At 38.1% G+C, this 19,457-nt stretch overlaps 1 protein-coding gene and 1 long non-coding RNA gene across 7 annotated transcripts in view; one reads left to right on the top strand and one right to left on the bottom strand.

Annotated features, from left to right (window-relative positions):
- The window catches only part of RORA-AS1 (RORA antisense RNA 1), a 151,462-nt gene that overhangs the window by 15,821 nt on the left and 116,184 nt on the right, over positions 1-19,457 (bottom strand). For both annotated transcript variants that reach the window (NR_120342.1, NR_120341.1), the window contains 2 exons: positions 16,307-16,371; positions 13,762-13,848 (listed from right to left, as the gene is read on the bottom strand). This is a non-coding gene — a long non-coding RNA (RORA antisense RNA 1). The remainder of the gene's footprint in view (positions 1-13,761; positions 13,849-16,306; positions 16,372-19,457) is intronic.
- RORA (RAR related orphan receptor A) overlaps positions 1-19,457 on the top strand; it is a 741,019-nt gene that overhangs the window by 614,484 nt on the left and 107,078 nt on the right. The gene's annotated exons all lie outside the window — the stretch shown is intronic.

The following is a 19,457-nucleotide window of genomic DNA, read 5'->3' as shown; positions in this document are numbered from 1 at the left end:
GTGTGTATAATCTCATTTAAACCTTATGATTACTATAAATATTAAGTATCCTATTTCTTGAGAAAACTGAGTTTTAGATATTAAGCCATTTGCCCAGCACACATGGCTAGTGGGTGGCAGAGATGGGCTTGAACCTTATTCTGTCAAGCCCTGAAGACCTTGTTCTTTCTCCTGTGCCATGCTGCCCCCTCCCCACAAAGGGTCATAGAACCGACACAGAAGCCATGTCTTTATAAGCCAGATTGTCCGTGAACTGCATTCCAAACCCTTGAATGCTTTTCTTGGGACTTTCTCATCAATGCGCCCTATGAATGCCTCTTTTCCTCAAAAATACACAGAAACACTCCAAAAGAATCAACCTTAATGCTCTTTCCTACACAACTAGAACCTTCCAGAGGTTGCATTTGTACTGATTTGCCTTGCTGCTCCAATTTTTTTATTTCGATTTAGGGTCTACTATCTCCAGGTCTGCTCCCCTCAGCTGATGGCCCATGCTCCAAAATTGTCCTTCCTTCCTCCTCCCCAGCAGTCAATGCCAATGCTTGCATTTCCTCTGTGCGATTAGGAGGAAAGTACTCCATTAAGCCAAACTGTACTTAACTTCCTGAGATATTATCTTTTTCAACCGACAGGCATTGTAGCCTGTCAGCCTAAAAGGATGAATTTCTAATCACACAATTCTCTATTTTTCACTTAAATGTTCAAAAGTCCTGTAAGAATAAAGGATTTTACAAAGGAAAAAAAATGACCATTTTTTTACTAACCTACCAAAAAATTTCCAGTTTTCCTTTTTCATTTTTTATCATATATGTATGTCATTTTCATGTTTTTCCAATTATGGCATAGACTCAATGTTGTATTCTTTTTTTTTTCACATAATTTCCCCATATGAGATATCAGTTGTTTGTCTGAAAGAAAGGCTACTGAGGTTGCAGCAGAAATTTATTGTCCCATAAGGCCTTCCCATGAACTGTCTACCTGAGATTTTGAGGGTGCCCTTTTACCAAATAGTAAGAAGAAAGTCTTTCCCTTTGACACCTTTTTTTTTTTTCAGGTGACTTTGTGGCTGTAATCCTAACACACACACACACACACACACACACACACACACACACACACACAGATATCAAATTGAGATTTTGTGATTATTATTTTCTCTTATATATTAGTAATTTTTAGGATTTTCAAAAGAGTTCACAAAGAGACATTCATTTAATGAATGCCAGACGTGCCTGGCAATCTGGTGGGCATGTTACAGCAAGTTGTTGTATTTGAATCGTAGAACAACCCCGTGGAAAGGTACTATTACCCTCACAGGTGAGGAAATCAAGGCTCCCAAGGATGAAGTTCCCTGCCCAACTGACAAGCGACAGGACAAGATTCAAAGCTGGATCTGACTCCAGAGCTCTTTTTAATTTGTCACCGGGCTTTCTCTCCTTAGAAAAACCTTCACTCTAAAGGGTTAGTCTACATGTCATTTCCAAGGCACACCAGAGAAAATGTAACAAAGAGAAGGAAATAGAGAAGGTTTTATGGTCAAGTGACGCCCCTGTATATTACAGGCACACAGAGATACGAAACAAATGTAAATTTATTCAAATATTATGAGAGAGGCGGTTGTAGTGATACATGTTATACAGGAGACCTATTACTCATAATTGATTTTACTAATATTTTAGCATCTGACCTGTTTCTCTTAATTGAATTGAAATGACTTATGCAACACATTTGTTTTACTGACTTTGGAAAGATATAATCACCTTCACCTACACTTTAAATAGAATTAAAAAAAAAAATTCCTGAACAGTGGCCTTAAAGATAAGTAAAAAAAAAAATACAGTTTCCTTCTCTAGGAAATGCCTAGAAAATTGCAGTTATTTTGTTTTAAGGAGGAAAAAAAAGAAAAGGCATTTTGCACAATGATCAGTGAGGTCACCCTGAACGAAAATAAAATATGTCCATTAAACCCTTCCCAAGAATCACAGATTGAGTCACTCAGGAGAGTACTAGGAGACTGCTCTGCCCTTTTTAACTTAGTCAAAATTAGTAAATCCAAAGCCCTTAAAATATAAACTAATTTCATGTTTGCAGAAAATACTTTACCCCTGGGGACAGAGTAAAACAGAGAGAGAGAAAAAAAAAAAAAAAAAAAAAAAACAGAGAGAGAGAGAGAGAGATTCTTCTAGGTACAGAGGTGTCTCGGATTTCAGCTTCCGTATGACAGCAGGCTTGTTCTACCAAACTGCAGAGAATGCCAGTCTGCTGGGTTTGCTAATGCCTGGTCTAGCAATATACTAAGAATGACAATTCAGGAACATACCAGGGAATTGTTCGCTAAAGGAGGTAAAAATTATGACTCTAACCTCAGGCTTCAACTGGGCATACATCCACTAGTTTCTGCCCGGGGTTAGTTGAGGCTTGGAGGAACATGCCAAAAAGAGGGGAGGTTCATTTTTATTTTTCAAGTTGGCAGGTCTTGTCTTGGGAAGGAAACAGAATTGGTATACCAGCTTTAATGGATTATAAGATGACTGGGCATTGGACAAGGGCACAGGGGAAAAAAGGCAAGCAAAAAGAAAAAAATTATTTTTGAGAACTTGCAAAAAATCAGTCTTGCTGGCCAGTCCTGGCCCTAGGTTGACATCTGTTGTATGTTAGTTTCCAATGTGTCTGTTTCTTAATACATGATCTCAGAACTTCAGTGATAGCATCCAAGGAAAAATTAGAAAATGAGCTTGAGGAAACATTTCTCTGGGTTCCTTCTCCCTGTGCCCAACAGGGAAAGAGCCGATAGAAGCCCTGCCTAGTCTAACTTGAGGCCACCCATTGGCTGGTAGGACTAGGATGAAACATCAGCACCTTTAATGTGGGGTTGAAAAACGGAATGCCAGGAAGTTAAAAGGACTTAGGGGAAAATGTCCTTTGGCCTTCCGCTGCGTGACAGGATTCTGAAGTGGCAGCTAGTGAGCAGAGTAGACTCAGTTAGTCCAGTCAGAGGAAAAAAGCAGCAAAACCAGAGGACCAACATCAGTAATATCTTTGAGTGCAGTGATGAAAGAGTGAGGATGGCTCTGCCAGAAAGGCGGGTCTCTCCATCAGGTTTCCCAAAGCAGCTTGTGTCTATGGCCAGCTGTCAGAGGAAAGGAGCCCTGCCTATTGGCTGGTATTTATTGAGCACCTACTAGGTGCTAAGAGTTCTCTAGACTCCTCGTGCAAAGAAGACTCCACCTTTTTTTTTTTTTTTTTTTTTTTTTTTTTTGCAAAACTCAAGATTGTTTGAGGTAAAGATACATGTTGATTTTGCTTTCTACCAAGACAAAGAAAATGCAGAATAGAATTATTAAAAAGATGCATTTTCATATCACTAGAAAACTCGTAGTACATAAACACAGAAGACTTTGAGGAAGGTTAAAGCTATGGCAAATCGAATCCCTTTTTCATTCTACTCATGTCCTATTCTGGGGCTGATTCAGTGCTGGAAACATGGTAGGATATGAAATGAACAACCAAGGGTTAGAGACAGAAGATATTGAAACAAGGGTCTAGCCACTCCTGCTATGGAGATTCCCTTGGAGATCTTCTGAGGTCTGAGAGATTGAACCCATTCAAGAGGAAAGAATTTTCCATTCCCCACTGTCTATGTAATAATACCCAGCCTGGCAGAGTGAAGATAATTGAGCGGCAATAGAAATTTTATTTACCTCCAAATGCAAATTCCCTTTAACTTGTCCCTACTTAGAATACGTTCTTTCTCCCTTTGTTTGAAATTAGGAAAGACCACTGGCCCATACACTTTAGGTGACATGACTTCTTAGCTTTATCTACTACGAACTTTTTATTATCTTCTGATTTTTCTACCTTGCACAAACCAAAACACTCTCAGTCCTGAGGAGTTATCGACAATGATCTGCATGAAAACAGAATCATTTTCTAAAGTCTCTATATTTTATCTCCACAATGCAATTTATCCACATGGCACTTGAATGAAATTCAAAGTTTGTATTTGGATGGTCGCCCTGGATTGGACACAGTCCTAAAGAGCCTCTCTGATCCTTTTGGTTTTTGGGGTTTTTTTTCCTTCTCTCTCTCTCTCTCTGATCTCAGTGTTATTGCTCAATTGTGCTGTTTCTATCACTGCCTACTTAGTAACAGCAATGGGGAACAAGCCTTAAAAGTGATCACCTATCATATATACCTATATATTTTTCTTCTGCTGGTCTCATAAAAAACTACCAGTCATTTATTTCATCTCACTTATTGTCGATCAGTCCCGCATTTTTCACCTCCTTACCGTGATTTTCTTTGTGCTGTGGTTCCCAGCCACAGCCCGCTTCCTGCTGAATTAAACTGCAACCCAGACAAAACCAAAGAGCACGTCTCTCCCAAAGTTCACTCAGAAGGTCACCCCTGGTGAGATGGACATTGCAGATGTGCTAGAAAGATGAGAGGCTGCTTTGATGAAACCTGCGTCTGTTCTTTGCTCCTGGTCCTCAGAGTGGAAGATCGGATGGATTGCCATTGCCTTGCATTATTTAAGACTTTTGATGAGCACCTCCCATCAAAATTCCCCACAGACCCTGGACTGTGTGTGTGTAGTGTGTGTGTGTGTGTGTGTGTGTGACTTACACGACACTTTAGAATGATTGAGATGTTCAAAAGGACATTGCCACGTGAGCTCTTTGCAGGGCTCACATTCCATTAGGTTGCCCTTCCTTAAGGTCTCTTGGTGGCCCTTCTGTTCTATTTGATGGCAATTTCTGTTCATTCCAGATTGTATTAAATCTCTTTAGCAGCTTCAAACGGCTCTCTCGAGCTGCAATTTTAGCATGTGGGTGCTGATCACATCAGTCCCTGGACTTTTGTTATTTTTTCACGCCTTTGATGGTTTTCCTCCCTGCTTCTGTTTTCATTGGCTCCTACTTTCATCTCCACTGTCTGTTCTGCAATGGTGTTATCTATTCATTCGACAGAGTCCAGCCATTCAGCCTTCTGAAGAAGAGGCCATTCCCTCACTTCTCTGTCCCCACTTTCCCAGTGGGTAGTCCATGATTTGTGCTTTTCATCAGGCAACCGTGGAGACCCCTCTTTGGGCAACCACTTTGGTGATAGGATGAGGATTCGTGTATCATGATTTCATTTTTATCAACCTCTTCTGTGTCTTCCCATTTTGGGTTGAGATGCGGCGGCTTCTGTTATGGCAGGTATTTTTATAAATGGCTTTGTCTGTGATCATTGCAAATGATGAAAGGTAGGCCACCTCATTTCCATCTTATGGACTTTCCACAGATATATATTTATTGTCTCTTCCTAGAGTGTGACAAATGATCAGAACATTGAGCAGGTATGAGATGTTGAGGGTTTTATTTCTGGGTCTGTCATTCCCTATACCTGAGACTTTTAAAAGTCATTTAACCCTAAGGCTGCCACATTTTTGTTTCCTCTAAAATCCCTGCCATTAATGTTCCATGTTATTTTGCCTAATTAAGTATTTCACGTTTTAATTCAAAAGCCCTAGTACCTAATCATGGTTCTTTTCTAAATGAATTCAGTATTTCATACCAAGCAAATGGTGTTAAGAGCAAAGGTCTGTGGAGCAGAGATGCCAAATGATAATCCCTTAAATGTGGAAAGGAGGTCAGTTTTAGACTTAATCATAGGAACCCTTCCTTTCTGCTATTGGTAAGCAAATATGAATCAGCCTGCCTAGACCTCCTGACCATGTGAATGGATGAAATATTAAAATGTACAAGGAAGACTTAATGAAATTAATGAAATACAGGGCCATAAAAATGAAGAGACATAACTGCAAGTATATTCTTAACTTCTAAGGCCAATGTCATGATAGACACGGGGGCCCTTTGTAAACTGTGTGTGTTTCTCGGTCACACAGAAAGGACCAGAGACTGTAAAACCCCCATCAGATGACCAGGCTTGGTATATGCTCAACATCATATGATCCGGTTTACTGTAGATTGTTATAAGGCCTGATTTATTAAAATGTGTTTGGTGATTTATTGGTGACATGTTGTTGAAGAGCCATGTAAATTATCTCTCGTGGCAGGAATGATTAGATAATATAAAAAGTGTATGAACAGAAAGAAAGATAGAAGTGGTGACAAAAAATCTTCTGAAGAAGAAATAAAAAACAGCCTCCTGTTTCCTTTTCAAAGTCCTACCATGGAAAACTTTCCTTACACTTGCCAACCTGTGTTTCTCAAAATATAAACTCTTCAGGAACAGGAAATCAGTTTTCAATACTTAGCATCTTGCAACATGTAGTGAGCACTAGAGTGGGAGTCAGAAACCCCCGTTCAAGTCCCAGCTCTACCATCAGCGGTGTGATCTGCTGAACCAGAGGCCTCTTTGAGCTTCACTTACCCTATCTGTGAGTGGGGATGATTCCTGCCTGCTGGATTTTTGGTCGTTTTTAAGTGTCAAACTTAGCCTTTCAGCTGCATTCTCATTAACAACAACATAATGATAATAACAATAAAATGTAAAAGCAATTTGGAGGTGGCCACGGTGACTTTAATACAAAAAGTATTATTCTGCATCCAGGACAATATGTGGAGTGAAAGAGACAGAACACCCAAAAGCATCTGAGCTCCGCGTCCATGTCTAGGACATTCTCAGCAATCACTTCCCTTTCCTCCGTCTATGCAGGAGCCGAGAAAATTTATCTCAGGACCCTCAGCTCCTGCCATTGTAGAGTCTGTACGATGTGGATCTAGCCTGGCAGGTGGAGAGGCAGCAGTTTCCATGCCTCTTACAAATTAACTAGTTTTCACGGACGTTTTGCAGCTGCCTTGGAAACAGGCTAGCAGTTTTGAAAAAGAATCGTTGCAGCCAAGAAAAAGGTATCGGTATCATGTGTGTGCATGGATAAAGCATACTTTTAGAAACCTGTCACTTCACCTGCACTGAATGGAAACAACGCCAAGTTGTGTCTATGGCTTTCTTCTTTTTTTCCCATTGAACTTGCTTTAACTGCTAATCTTTCTTTCTCCAGAATTCTGGCAGGTTAAACATTATTATATAAATAGCAATTGCAACAAATACCTTCACAGAATGATGTATAAATAAACTTGAGCCCTGAACACTCATCACTCCAGTAAATATTTACAAAAACATTCTAGCTTTAAATAGGGGGAAAGGGTTGTGTTTGAAGAGTTTTTACTTTATTGATATTTGGCTAATATTAGAGTTAAATAAAATGCCTGTGTATAATGCAGGTAGCTTCCTATGGAACACGCTTTATTTTTCCAGTATGCTTCAGAACACAGCTTACTGAAACAAGAACACCTAAGTCCTTGAGTGTAAGGTCTTAAATAGTTAGGGTTATTATTTTAGGTATGTATACCATGTCACATTCAAGGCAGTATCAGAAAATGAGGTACATCATAAAAAATTAATTTTCTGCAGCGTATTTCTATAAGTGCCTAAACTAAATCACTTTATAGGGGGAAGGGGAGCTTTCAAAATATATTATGTAAGTCCCTGTCTTCTTAGAGTTCATGGGTTAATACGTCCTTAGTGATTCAAAGTCATTATAACCATTAATTATTATGGTGTGTACAGTATGCTGTAATACAGGATGCACTCAGAAACTCGGCAGGTGTGGTTGGCTCTTTGCCCCTATGCTAAATGGCTCCATGCTGCCATACTTTTTGAGTTCTTAGGTCTAACTTTTTATCATTTTTTAAATCTCTTCCTTCAATATTTATTGTCTCTCTTTGCGCCTATGAGCACAAGTCTCTGTTGTGCTTCCAAAATATCTCCGGTATACTGGAAGTTCAGACATCAAGGTTGTCAGAATTATGTCTTACATAAGAGAAAAAAGCCTCGGAGTAAATATCAAAGGGATGCTTTTTAAAGCACATATACAAACTTTTGGTTCTTGGAGTTTTAGTGGTATCTCTGCTGATCTTTGTTTCTTTCTTTTCTTTTTTCTTTTCTGTTTTTTCGGCTTCTGTCTTCCATTTATTTCACAAGGCTTTCATGTGAGAGATGTCTGATTGAAAAGTATTATAGCAATTGTTTATACTTCTGAGATAGCAGTTCTAATTTAGTATTTCTTTAGATAACCACTTGCCTTACTGGAAACTGCTTACCTTCTACTAGTGTTAGTTACAATTTTTGGTGCATAGTCAAGAATAGGACTTTTTCCTTTTAACTATCTTTTTCAAACATTTCACGTAGTGCCTCACCCAAAGTCTGCTCCGAGAAAATATATGATGATTAACTGAGATTTAAAAATAATTATCACACACAAGCTACATACAAATGAAACTTTCTACAAAGTATACTGGTCTTTCATGTTCTAGAAAATGCTTCTGTGCTTTTCACATCTTGGTTTAAAAAAAACAACAACAAGAAAGACCAAGTTGAGCATAAATGATAAAAATAATTTGTAAAGGAGCTGAAAATAGAACTCTTCGTAGATACCAATTCCAAGTACATTGCAGCTTTCCTATGGGATTATTTTGTTGCTGGAAGAATTTGTAGCTCCTAATTAGGAGCCCTTTAATTCATTCATTCGTTCCAACAATAGCATTTACTGAATGCTTGCTGGGCCCCACCAGGGATACACAGGCATATCAGACACAATCTCAGGAAACAGACATTTTGGCCAGAATTTGAAGGTTGCTGTGAGTCAGAGCCCAGCTGCCATATGTTAGAAGCATTCCTCCAGTTAAAACTGAAAGCTTTAAAGTGAAGCTTAACTTGTTTTTTCAAGCTAGCCTTGATTCAATTAGAACGATCCCAAATATTTCGTGTTCTGGGAAGAAATCTGGAGAAGTGGTGTCATAATGTTTTCCTGTTCGCTGACAAGTCATTCAGTAGCCCTGTCCAAGATCATTTAAAATAGCCTGGGAATAATCAGAAGTGATGTGCCTCTGCGGAAAACACTTGGAGGATGTCTGTCGGCAAATGATGTTTTAAACCCTAGGTTTGATTTAGAACTGTTGTCAGGTTCCTAATGACGATTTATATGTTTAAAAAACGTCATCTCCAGAAAAGTTAATATAAATGTAAGTTAGGAAACAATGAAAGTTTCATATAATATAATCATTATTTACTCTGTGGTTTTACTTATCTGTTTTGCTTTGTAATCAAATATACAAACTTACCTTCTCTCCCTCCCTGCTATTAGCTTGCTTTGTCAGTGAGTCATCATGTTTTGCCTCTATTAAAGACCAATAATCTTAAATCGTATCATTAATCATATCTGATCATCGTAATTTTGTAAGAAAACCATCTGTATAAATTTTGAGTGAAGTAACCTTATGCATTGTTTACGTAGTTTCTTTTCCACTATAGTTTAACATTTAGATTATGTTGTTAGCCTTAGTTGTATGCGGGAAGATTGACATAATTTTATTAAAATTATTGGTTTTTATTGCCTTGAAATCCTAAGGGATACAATAGGTTTTGGTAAGAAAGCATTTCAGACAGAATCATAATAAGCTTCTTAACTAAATGTCCTTGTTTGTCTAGGAGTGTTTGAAAGAAAAAAAAATCTTGTTTCCAGAGAGTACAAACTCTAACTACATTACGAAGAATTGCTTTTAAACATTCAGGAATTTTTTTTTTTGAAATGGAGTAGACAAATTATCAGTTTTCATGGTGACATGTACATAGTATATCGTGTGTAGAACCTTTGACTCTGAAGAACATAGCTAGGTTGACAGAATAACAAAAGATCCACTTCTAAAGTGAAAAATTATCTTAATTATTTGGGAGCTCTGAGTATATAATGCCAAATACATGGAGAGTTAGCACTATCTGTATGTCCAAATAAACTCCCTGTTCACACTGTTTGTTAGTATATTTTATATTGCTCATACAGTTATAAATGTCTAGTGGTAGGTCATAAACCACTCCAATCCAGTGATTATTGGGTATCAACAGTGTGCCAGATACTAATGGGTTTCATGTTTATTGCCTGACTTTTAAGATCTTAAAAACATCTCTAAAGATAGGTGTTAGTTTTTCAGTTGTACAGGAGAGGAAATTGAAGCTCAAAGAATATAAGTAACTTGTCACCAATCACAAAGCCACTGTTGGAACTAGAATGGAAAACCAGATTTTCCAACTCCAATTCCAGTGCTTTTTCTTCCATACATGCTACTTTCAAAGAAGTATTCACTGATTCAACAAATATTTACTCAACATCTATGTATGCCAGGCACTATGGTAAGCCTTAATGATATAAGGAATACAATGGCGAGTAAGACAGGTATGTTTCCTGACTCTAGTGTGGAGAGTCTAAAGAAGAAGGCAGAAAAGATAATAAATGATTTGAAAAGAGAGTGACGAATCAGGTTTACAAAAAGAGAAGAACAAGATGTCTATAGGGCAGTGACATTTAAACTTAGACCATAGAATGGCAAAAAAAGCAGATAAACAAGGTCAGTCCATTCGCATTACTGGAGGATTTTGTGTTTACAAATTTGCATACTCACTAAAATTTATTTATAACCCCAAAATCAACACTGGGTATGCGGTCATTGGCAGACAAGTATGTGCACACAGCGTCCTAGAACAGGTTCCCCACTGAGGTCCATTGAGGTGATGTTCTGCCCTCTTGTTTCAGCTGTCATATTATAAACAGGTGTCCTTTTTAAAGTCTATTCAATGCCATATTTTTCTAATGTTCGTGCTTTTTTTTTTTTTTTTTTTTTTGAGACAGAGTCTCGCTCTGTCACCCAGGCTGGAGTGCAGTGGTGCGATCTCGGCTCTCTGCAACCTACGCCTCCCAGGGTCAAGCGATTCTCCTGCCTCAGCCTCCTGCGTAGATTACAGGCACGCACCACCATGCCCGGCTAATTTCTTTTGTATTTTCAGTAGAGACGGGGTTTCACCATGTTGGCCGGGCTGGTCTCAAACTCCCGACCTCAGGTGATCCACCCACCTCAGCCTCCCAAAGTGCTGGGATTACAGGCGTGAGCCACCATGCCCCGCCCTGTTTGTGCTTTTTGTTGATAAGTCTCACTGTTTAAAATGATCCCCAAGCACAGTGCTTGCTGAAGTGCTGTCTAGTGTTCAAGCGCGAGAAGATTGTGATATGTCTTAATGGAGAAAATACAATGTGTTACATAAGCTGTCTCTAGCCATGAGTTATACTGCTGTTGGCTGCCAGTGCAATGTTATTGAATCAACAATACATACTAAATAAGATGTCTTTAAACAGAAACACACATAAAACAAAGTTAGGTATTGATCAGTTGACAAAAAAGTTATGAGCACAGACTCACAGAAACTTAACCCTCTATTTCCTCTAGGACGAATAATTTTGTCTTTTAAAATTCAGTGTTCCTGGGAACTTTATAGAACTTAACTACTTTGAAGAACTAAAATCAGCAATGAATGGATAAATATTCAACAACACCATGTGCTGGAGAGGATATGGAGCAACTGGAACTCTCATACATTGCTGATAGGAATGCAAAATGGCACAGCTACTCTGGAAACCATCAAGCATTTCTTATAATTAAATGTATATATCCATCCCATATGATCTAACAGTCCCATTCCTAGGTATTTACCAATATAAATGTAAATTTAGGTTCACACCACAGCCTGTACCATGAATATTTATACCAGCTTTATTTTTGATTGCCATAAAATGGAAACAACCCAACTGTCCTTCAATTGAGGAATGAATAAACAAACTGTGGAATGGAATATTACTCAACAATAAAACAGAGCAAATTATTGTACTCAACAACACGGGATGAATCTCAAATGCTTTATGCTAAGTAGAAGAAACCAGTCAACAGGCTGCATAATATACTATTCCACTGAAATAATATTCTTTAAAGGCAAAGCTGTAGGGACACAAAACATCTCTGGTTGCCAGGATTTGGGGTGGAGGGTTGGCTATAAAGGGGCACAGAGGAATATTGGGGGAGAGGGGAATAGAACTGTTCTGTGTCTTTTAATTTAATTGTGGTTAAACAATTAAATGCCTTAGTCACAACTCAAAGAACTGTATCCTAAAAAGGGTGAGTTTTCCAACATGTAAATTATATTTTAATAAGATTAAAAAGCTGAGATCTGAAAGACGAATCAAAGTGCAATTCTTCTAGTTTGACACGGTGACATCAGAAAATACCATTAAAATAGAGAGCACTCTATATGTTTTACAGTAGTTCTAGTTGATAAAATACTGTTAGTGTAAAATAACCACTATGTAGTAATTTATGTTATACTGCAAACTGAGCAGCGATCTCTCTGAACATATAAAACATGTTTTCTTTTCTCTTGTTTTGTTACGCCTAAATCTAACATGGTGACAGGAAACAGTTTCTTACTAGTTTTTTGACAAGTGCTGAAATCTGCAAATCATAATATGATTCCAATATATGCATTATTCATAAGAGGACAAAACTTTTGTTTGATTTGGATTACCCAGTTTAATGGCAGCTGACCTTGGGATAATATAACAAACAAGACAACAGAGCAAATATGATAATATCACTTATCTTGCTTGAATATGATTATTTAATGATAGGCAACTGTCAGAAACAGACAGTTAACTGTTCGTGTCCTTGGAAGCAGAGAGACTTACCAAATGCCCTCTTTGAGTGTCTTGAACTCTGATATTTCCCTTTTTTATTCTTCCCTGTTTATAATGGCTTTGCTACATTACCTCTGTTATATTTCAAGGAGCAAAGATGTTGTAAATCAAATCACCGTTACATTCTGGTCTATGAAAGTCAGTTTCACCATATAACATGTACCTAACCTTTGAAATAATGGGCGAGTTGGGCTTTCCAAGACTATTACGTACTTAAGGCTTTACAACAAATTCAATAATGCATATCAGTAGTTTCTCAATAATGTATACTGTAGCTAACACAAACAAGTCACTCTTTCTCACTTTTATTATATTTTGAAAATTATTTTACTAATATTTTACTTAAGATGTGTTGTCAAAACATCCCAGGGCTATGTATGTACTGTGTTCTTTTATAAATAACAAGACTATGCATAACTACAGTCACTTAATAAACGTAGATAACAGTTTACTCAAAGTACATTGAAAATAAATGGCTCTGCTTAAGATTATTAAGCTATCAAAGCCATTTGTTGGGTGATTAAAGTAGGTGAACAAACTGCTATATTATATATGTTGCAAAAACTGTGAAAAGAGCAGCAGTGAAACAATTTGGAAAAGTAAAAACAGTAAATATATCTTGTGCTTTTTCTGTAGAATATCATGAACTATGAAATCATTATTTTTTTACCTTTTTAACAGATGTTTTTGGTTTGGAGTCTTTTAGGAACGTCAGCTTTGATTTGTGTATTTTTTAGTTTCCTTGTAATCCTATCTAACATCCATTAACAACATTTAGAGTTGTTTGATTATTCCGAAATACAAAATAAACTTCCCTCAAGAGTTAATTTGGTATGTAGCAAGTGTTTCTTAAATGTACAAATGGCAACATTGTTTTCCAACAGAATAATTACAACCATGTACAGTATGTTTCCTCATTAGTAGTAATTAAATAATTTACTACATTGTGCAATAATTCATAATGACACATGCTAACCTTGCTCAATTATAGAAGCCAGTGATAAAAGAATTTCTTGCACACATGCCTAGATGTTATGAGGGTAGTACTTCTTGATTTCTGGAGAAGTCAGCTTGCTATTTTTGAAATACTAAGTAATGCTGAATTGAAGGAAAAATTAATTCAATTTTTGAGAGTTGCAGCATAATGTTTAGGAGTGCACATGCTAGAATCAGTGTACCTGGATTTTTTTCTTATGGTTCCACCGGTTATTGGCCCTGTCCTCCTGGACAAGTCACTTAATTTCTCTGTGCCCCAGTTTCCTCATCTGTAAAATGAATGTAATAAAAGTACAGAATGTTTTTCCATAAATGAAATGATTTTTAAAAAGAGCATAAAATCAATGCTTGCCACACAGGAAGTTCCAAGGAATAGTTAACCAGTAGGAGAGGTAGTAGCAGCAACAGTAACAGTATTATATAATGATTGGAAACCCATTTTGATTTCACAAAATTATTTTTGAGGACACAAGGCTTTACTAGATACTAAAAATCTAACAGGAATTTTGGAACTTCTGACTGGAATGCCTAATTTAATCTACCTCCATCTTACAAAATGTAGGAAGAGATTTTAAGAGAAGAGTGATTTTTTAAAATGTGGATCTAACATATTGAGAAAATTTTAACCTTTTTATTAAAACAAAAAATACCCAAATCTATTCTTGTTTTAGCGCTCACAACAGACTTCCACAGTGTAGGACTGGACATAAATAATAGATGGACTTCTGAGAGCAGAGAATAGACTTCTGGTCAGACACTGTCAGCCCAGATGAATCCCATCCTATAAGCTGGAGCTTAAATGTGAGCATCAAAACCACTATTGACATGTGGCACAACTGTCTGAAATGTCAATAGTTATAAAATGAGTATTTCATAATGCAGAATAATTGATTACTTTGCTTGACTGAACAGGAACATATTTTCCCTGTGAAAGCAAAATAATGCCAGCATTTGCTCCTGGAACGCTCCTAGCTGCGAGATTTGGATTTCCCAATGAAGCCCACGTTACTCTGCAGTCCTTGATCATGCATGACAAAAATAGGGAAAACCATCTGTAACCGCTTATCTTTTCTCCATTATTTGAAAATATATTTTTAAGATAGTTCTTTAAAAAATAAAATATGGCCTATATATGAAGCATCTATATTAATAGAACTGTCTCAGATAATTTTCAGAACTGAAATGGATGAGATACAAAATCAAATAACATTCCATTTATCTTGTTCATCCTAAAATGCTCTGCTTAGCTTTTCACTCTGATGAAATAACATCCATTTCCAGTTTTATTCTTCCTTGGTGTGCTGTGATGTGGAACTCTTTTGCTCTATGTGTTTTATTAAGTGTAATTTAACTTTATGACTATCAAACCAACGATTAATCCTTACAATAAGACTATGAAATAGGCAAGCTGCAAAGAGATTTATTTTCTGAAGCACAATTCCCTTCTTCTACCTCCAATTATTTTTTCAAAAATCATTCTCTGAAAGTGTATAGTTTGCAGAGCTCTGTCCTGGGCACTGTGAGGGAAGGCAGAAGAAATAGCTACAACCTACATTCTGGGCTTTCTCCCCTTCTTATCTGTGTGTATTTTATCTCTGGTAAATGCTCGTTATTAGTTTCCTTGAGTGAGAAATGCATTTTCTGTCTCGTACTTTTACAACTGTGTTCTTTTATTTTCTTTACTTTTTTAAGACAGAGTCTTGCTCTGTCGCCCAGGCTGGAGTGCAGTGACACGATCTCAGCTCACTGCAGCCTCCGCCTCCCGGATTCAAGTGATTCTCCTGCCTCAGCCTCCCAAGTAGCTGAGATTACAGGCACCTGCCACCACAGCTGGCTAATTTTTGTATTTTTAGTAGAGATGGGGTTTCGCCATGTTGGCCAGGCTGGTCTCAATCTCCTGACCTCAGGTGATCTGCCCACCTTGGCCTCCCAAAGTGCTGGGATTACAGGCGTGAGCCACAGCACCCAGCCTGTACTTTTACAACTGTGTTCTATCGTCCTTCTAAGAGGCTCTTCATTTTTACTTCTATCCACCAAGATGTGATTTGGCCTTCAAGGTCTAGCTCAAATATCCTTCATGAAGTCCTCCTTCTCTTAAAGTTTCAGATGAACCCCGCACATAGTAACCACTCTTATTCTTGACTTACATGGCACTTTATTTCTGGAACACTTCGAGTATGTGCCACACATTCTGCCTTACATTATAAGCATTGCGTTTATTTTCCTACTAGATTGCAAGCTCCTTGGAGGATAGACTGATACCTTGATTTTTGTCCTTTCCTCTCGACATACTAGCACAGTGTAATGCACACAGAAGGTGTTTAGTCATTGCTCATTGGATGAGAACTTTCTCTCCTATAGGAAATAAGACATAAAAAGCCTGCTAGACCACAGGGCCTCTTAGGCCAATGGACAATTTAATTCTTATCCATCTTTGTGTCCTCAATACTTAGCAGGTGCTTAATAAATACAGTTGATCCCTGAACAATGTAGGGTTTAAAAGTGCTGACCCCCTTGTAGTAAAAAATCTGCATATAACTTTTGAATCCCCCATAACTTAACTACTAATAGCCTACTGTTGACTAGAAGCCTTGCCAATAAAATAGGCAATCAATTAACATATATTTTGTATGTTATATGTATTATATATTGTATTCTTACAATAAAGTAACGTAGAAAAAATAAAATGTTATGAAGAAAATCATAAGGAAGAGAAATTATGCTTACTATTCATTAAGTGGAAGTGGATTGTCATAAAGGTCTTCATCCTTATTGTCTTCACAGTGAGTAGGCTGAGGAGGAAAAAAGGGTTAGTCTTACTGTCTCAGGGGTGGCAGAAGCGGAAGAAAATTCTCACATAAGTGAACCTACACATGTCAAATCTGTGTTGTTCAAGGGTCAACTATACTTGTTTTATATACATGACACACACACACGAGTTTCAAAATTGTAGAACGCTCAGCAAAAGTGCATGCGGAGAAACATTTCAACAAATTTTGATTAAGGGTTAACATTTTATGTCAGGCACAGGTGCTGTGTGTGTAACAATGTAAGGGCTGATGGGGTGGTGATGGCAGTTCCACTTGTAAGCTCTACTGAGAGATATCACTTTTTCCTTTCTGTATACTGTTTAATCCTCCTAGTGGCCCTACAAGGCTCTACTCTCCTTATTTGACGTATGGTGAAACAAAGGTTTGCTCAAGCTCATACAGCTAGTGAGTGGGATGTAGGTTGGTTTTGAGCCCAACTTCATCTAATGCCAAAGCCCATTCCACCATACCATGGAGTTCAAGCAAACAAAGAAGGCTTCTTGGAGAAGTAAGCAGATACGGCACAGCATAGAGAAAGGGAAGAAAGTGTTCCCGAAAAGTGGATGGGGAATGATTCTGAAAGCAGTCACAGGATGTTCGAGTGGTAGGGGCCCGTTGCAGTCAGTTCCTACTCCATCAGGCTACAGTTGAGGGGCCTGGTGTCCTGAAAGGTAAAATGGCTTGCCCGATGTGATGTAGAAAGCTAATGACAAGTGTGAAACTATCCTGGACCCAGGATTCCAGATTCTGAGTTCACTTGTATTTCTTGTGTTTGCTTACATATATATATATATATGTATATATATGTATGTATATATATATATATATATATGTGTATATATATATATATATGTGTATATATATATATATATATATATGTTGTGTGTGTGTGTGTGTGTGTGTGTGTGTGTGTGTGTATCTCCTGTACCACTGCCAGGTATAGGAATGGGGTGAGGACACAGCATGGGGACATAAAGGAATGGAGGTCCCTCTTGGCCTTGGTTTGCATTTCTCCCCTTCCTGCCTTGACTGGTGTGTGTGTAGTGAGGCACCTGCCACCCACCTATTCTGTGGAGGTTGCTCAGCTCTGTATGCCTGTGAACTTTACCCTTTTCCTTATTGTGGTGATTACAAAACATAAGCCAGTCCTCTGAATTTCCTAATAGGTGTATGAAATATATGGTTCCAGAAATCCCAGAAGCCCTGCACCATTGTCTCCATTTAGTCAAATCTTTCACCTCCAACATCCCATTACACTAATAGCCACACTAATGATTTGCAGTCATCTATCAACTGTTAGTGAGTGGCACAGTGCTGCGCAAACATCTTTTCAATGGGCAACCAGACATGTTACACCTTTAGGAATGTTTGGACCGACTCACGGAACTCTACAGTTTTCAGAGCACAGGTCAGCTGATTTGTGACCTTCTCAAAATCAGGGCTACTGTCTTATTCTTGTTTGATTATCCATCACAGTGTCAGCATAATACCTACTCAGTAAGTGTGGCTGATTATGAGAAATATGTGTATGTGTGTGTGGGTGGGTGTGAGTGTGTAAAAGTGTAGGTGTCTCTTGCCACCCAAATGTAGTCTATTTCACGATATTTCATGAACTATGCATATGTATACATACATGCATATTTCAATCTACATCTATATTCATTTTAAAATCATGAATAAGGCAGATAAACCACATTAATCCACTTGTCCCGTCCCCCTTTATACTCATAAACAGCAGAGTTCCTTGTCTTACTGTTGGCTTCTGGGTCTCACCAGTGTTACTCCATTTGTAAGTGTTCCTTTATGAGAAACTGGCTCCTTCTGGACTCATATTTAAGCAAGGCTGTGATCTCTTCTAGGTTAGTTTGTGATGTGTCCATAGCTTCCCAAGTATCCTTGCTTTAGAACTCTCTGGGTCTGACCCTATTGTGTTTATAGGAAACTTGGTCCCCTGGCTCTATGTCAACCAGAATGGCTCAACTCCTAAAGGTCACAGTGCAGTGGTGGCTAAGGATTCCATTGAATCAAGCTGCCTAGGACCACATTAACCTTTCACTGATCCCTTTCTTGTTCAGCTATAACAAAATTAATTGAATTAGCAAGCAGACGCACACTGGAGAGAGAGACGCAGGGCCTGGGTGAGACAAAACCAAAATGCTGTGCCTCACATGCATCAGCAAACTTTGAAATCACCTTTGTCCTAGGAGCCACTTGCAGATTCGGGATAAGTTTGCCAGTCCACTGGTTTGTCATTCTCCCCAATAGCATTATATCTGTGATTTGGGGTGGCAAATTATGAGATCAGAACTTGTGTGGTGAAAAACAAAATATACGCTCATAAAGTCAAGTATCATTTATTTAAACTGTAACATAGGAAGACTGGCACCAATTTACTAGTGATACTACCGTCTAGACTCCTGCAAAAATGCACCCATCTTTTCCCCTAGGTGTTTTTGGGAACAACTTGGCATTAGAAGTGTCTCTCTACTTTCTTACTGTGTGGCAGACTCAGTGTGGAACCCAGCACACAGGAACACCACGTGGGGCTGTGACCATCCTGGGAGACTCTGAGATGAGTTACATGTGTTTATAAGTATGTTGTGTGCCTTCTTTTTCTGAGATTAGTCAACAGAAACCTTTGAGCTGCAAATTAATATATAACAAACTCCCATTCCTGGTAAAGAAGTCCCATTCTGTTTAATTATCTTCATGTAAGCAATATTACTTTACTTTTTTTTTTTTTTCAGAACACTTGGTAAAAAGAAAAAGAAAGAATATGTTCCTTAGCACTGTGTTCTCCCTCAGTCGGTACTCATAAGCATTTATTTAATAAAATCCAAACGATTATTCCTACATATTTATTGCATTTTAATATTTTATTGTATTTCTACTTGATTGTATTTTTTTTTTTCCTTGAGACAGATTATTGCTCTGTCGCCCAGGCTGGAGTGCAGTGGTGTGATCTCAGCTCACTGCAACCTCAACTTCCTGGGTTCAAGTAATTCTTATGCCTCAGCCTCGCGAGTAGTAGCTGGGATTACAGGCAAGCACCACCACGCCTGGCTAAT

This window comes from Homo sapiens, chromosome 15, assembly GCF_000001405.40.
Source record: "Homo sapiens chromosome 15, GRCh38.p14 Primary Assembly".
Lineage (NCBI taxonomy): Eukaryota > Metazoa > Chordata > Mammalia > Primates > Hominidae > Homo > Homo sapiens.
This window is presented reverse-complemented; position numbering and strand designations above follow the sequence as displayed.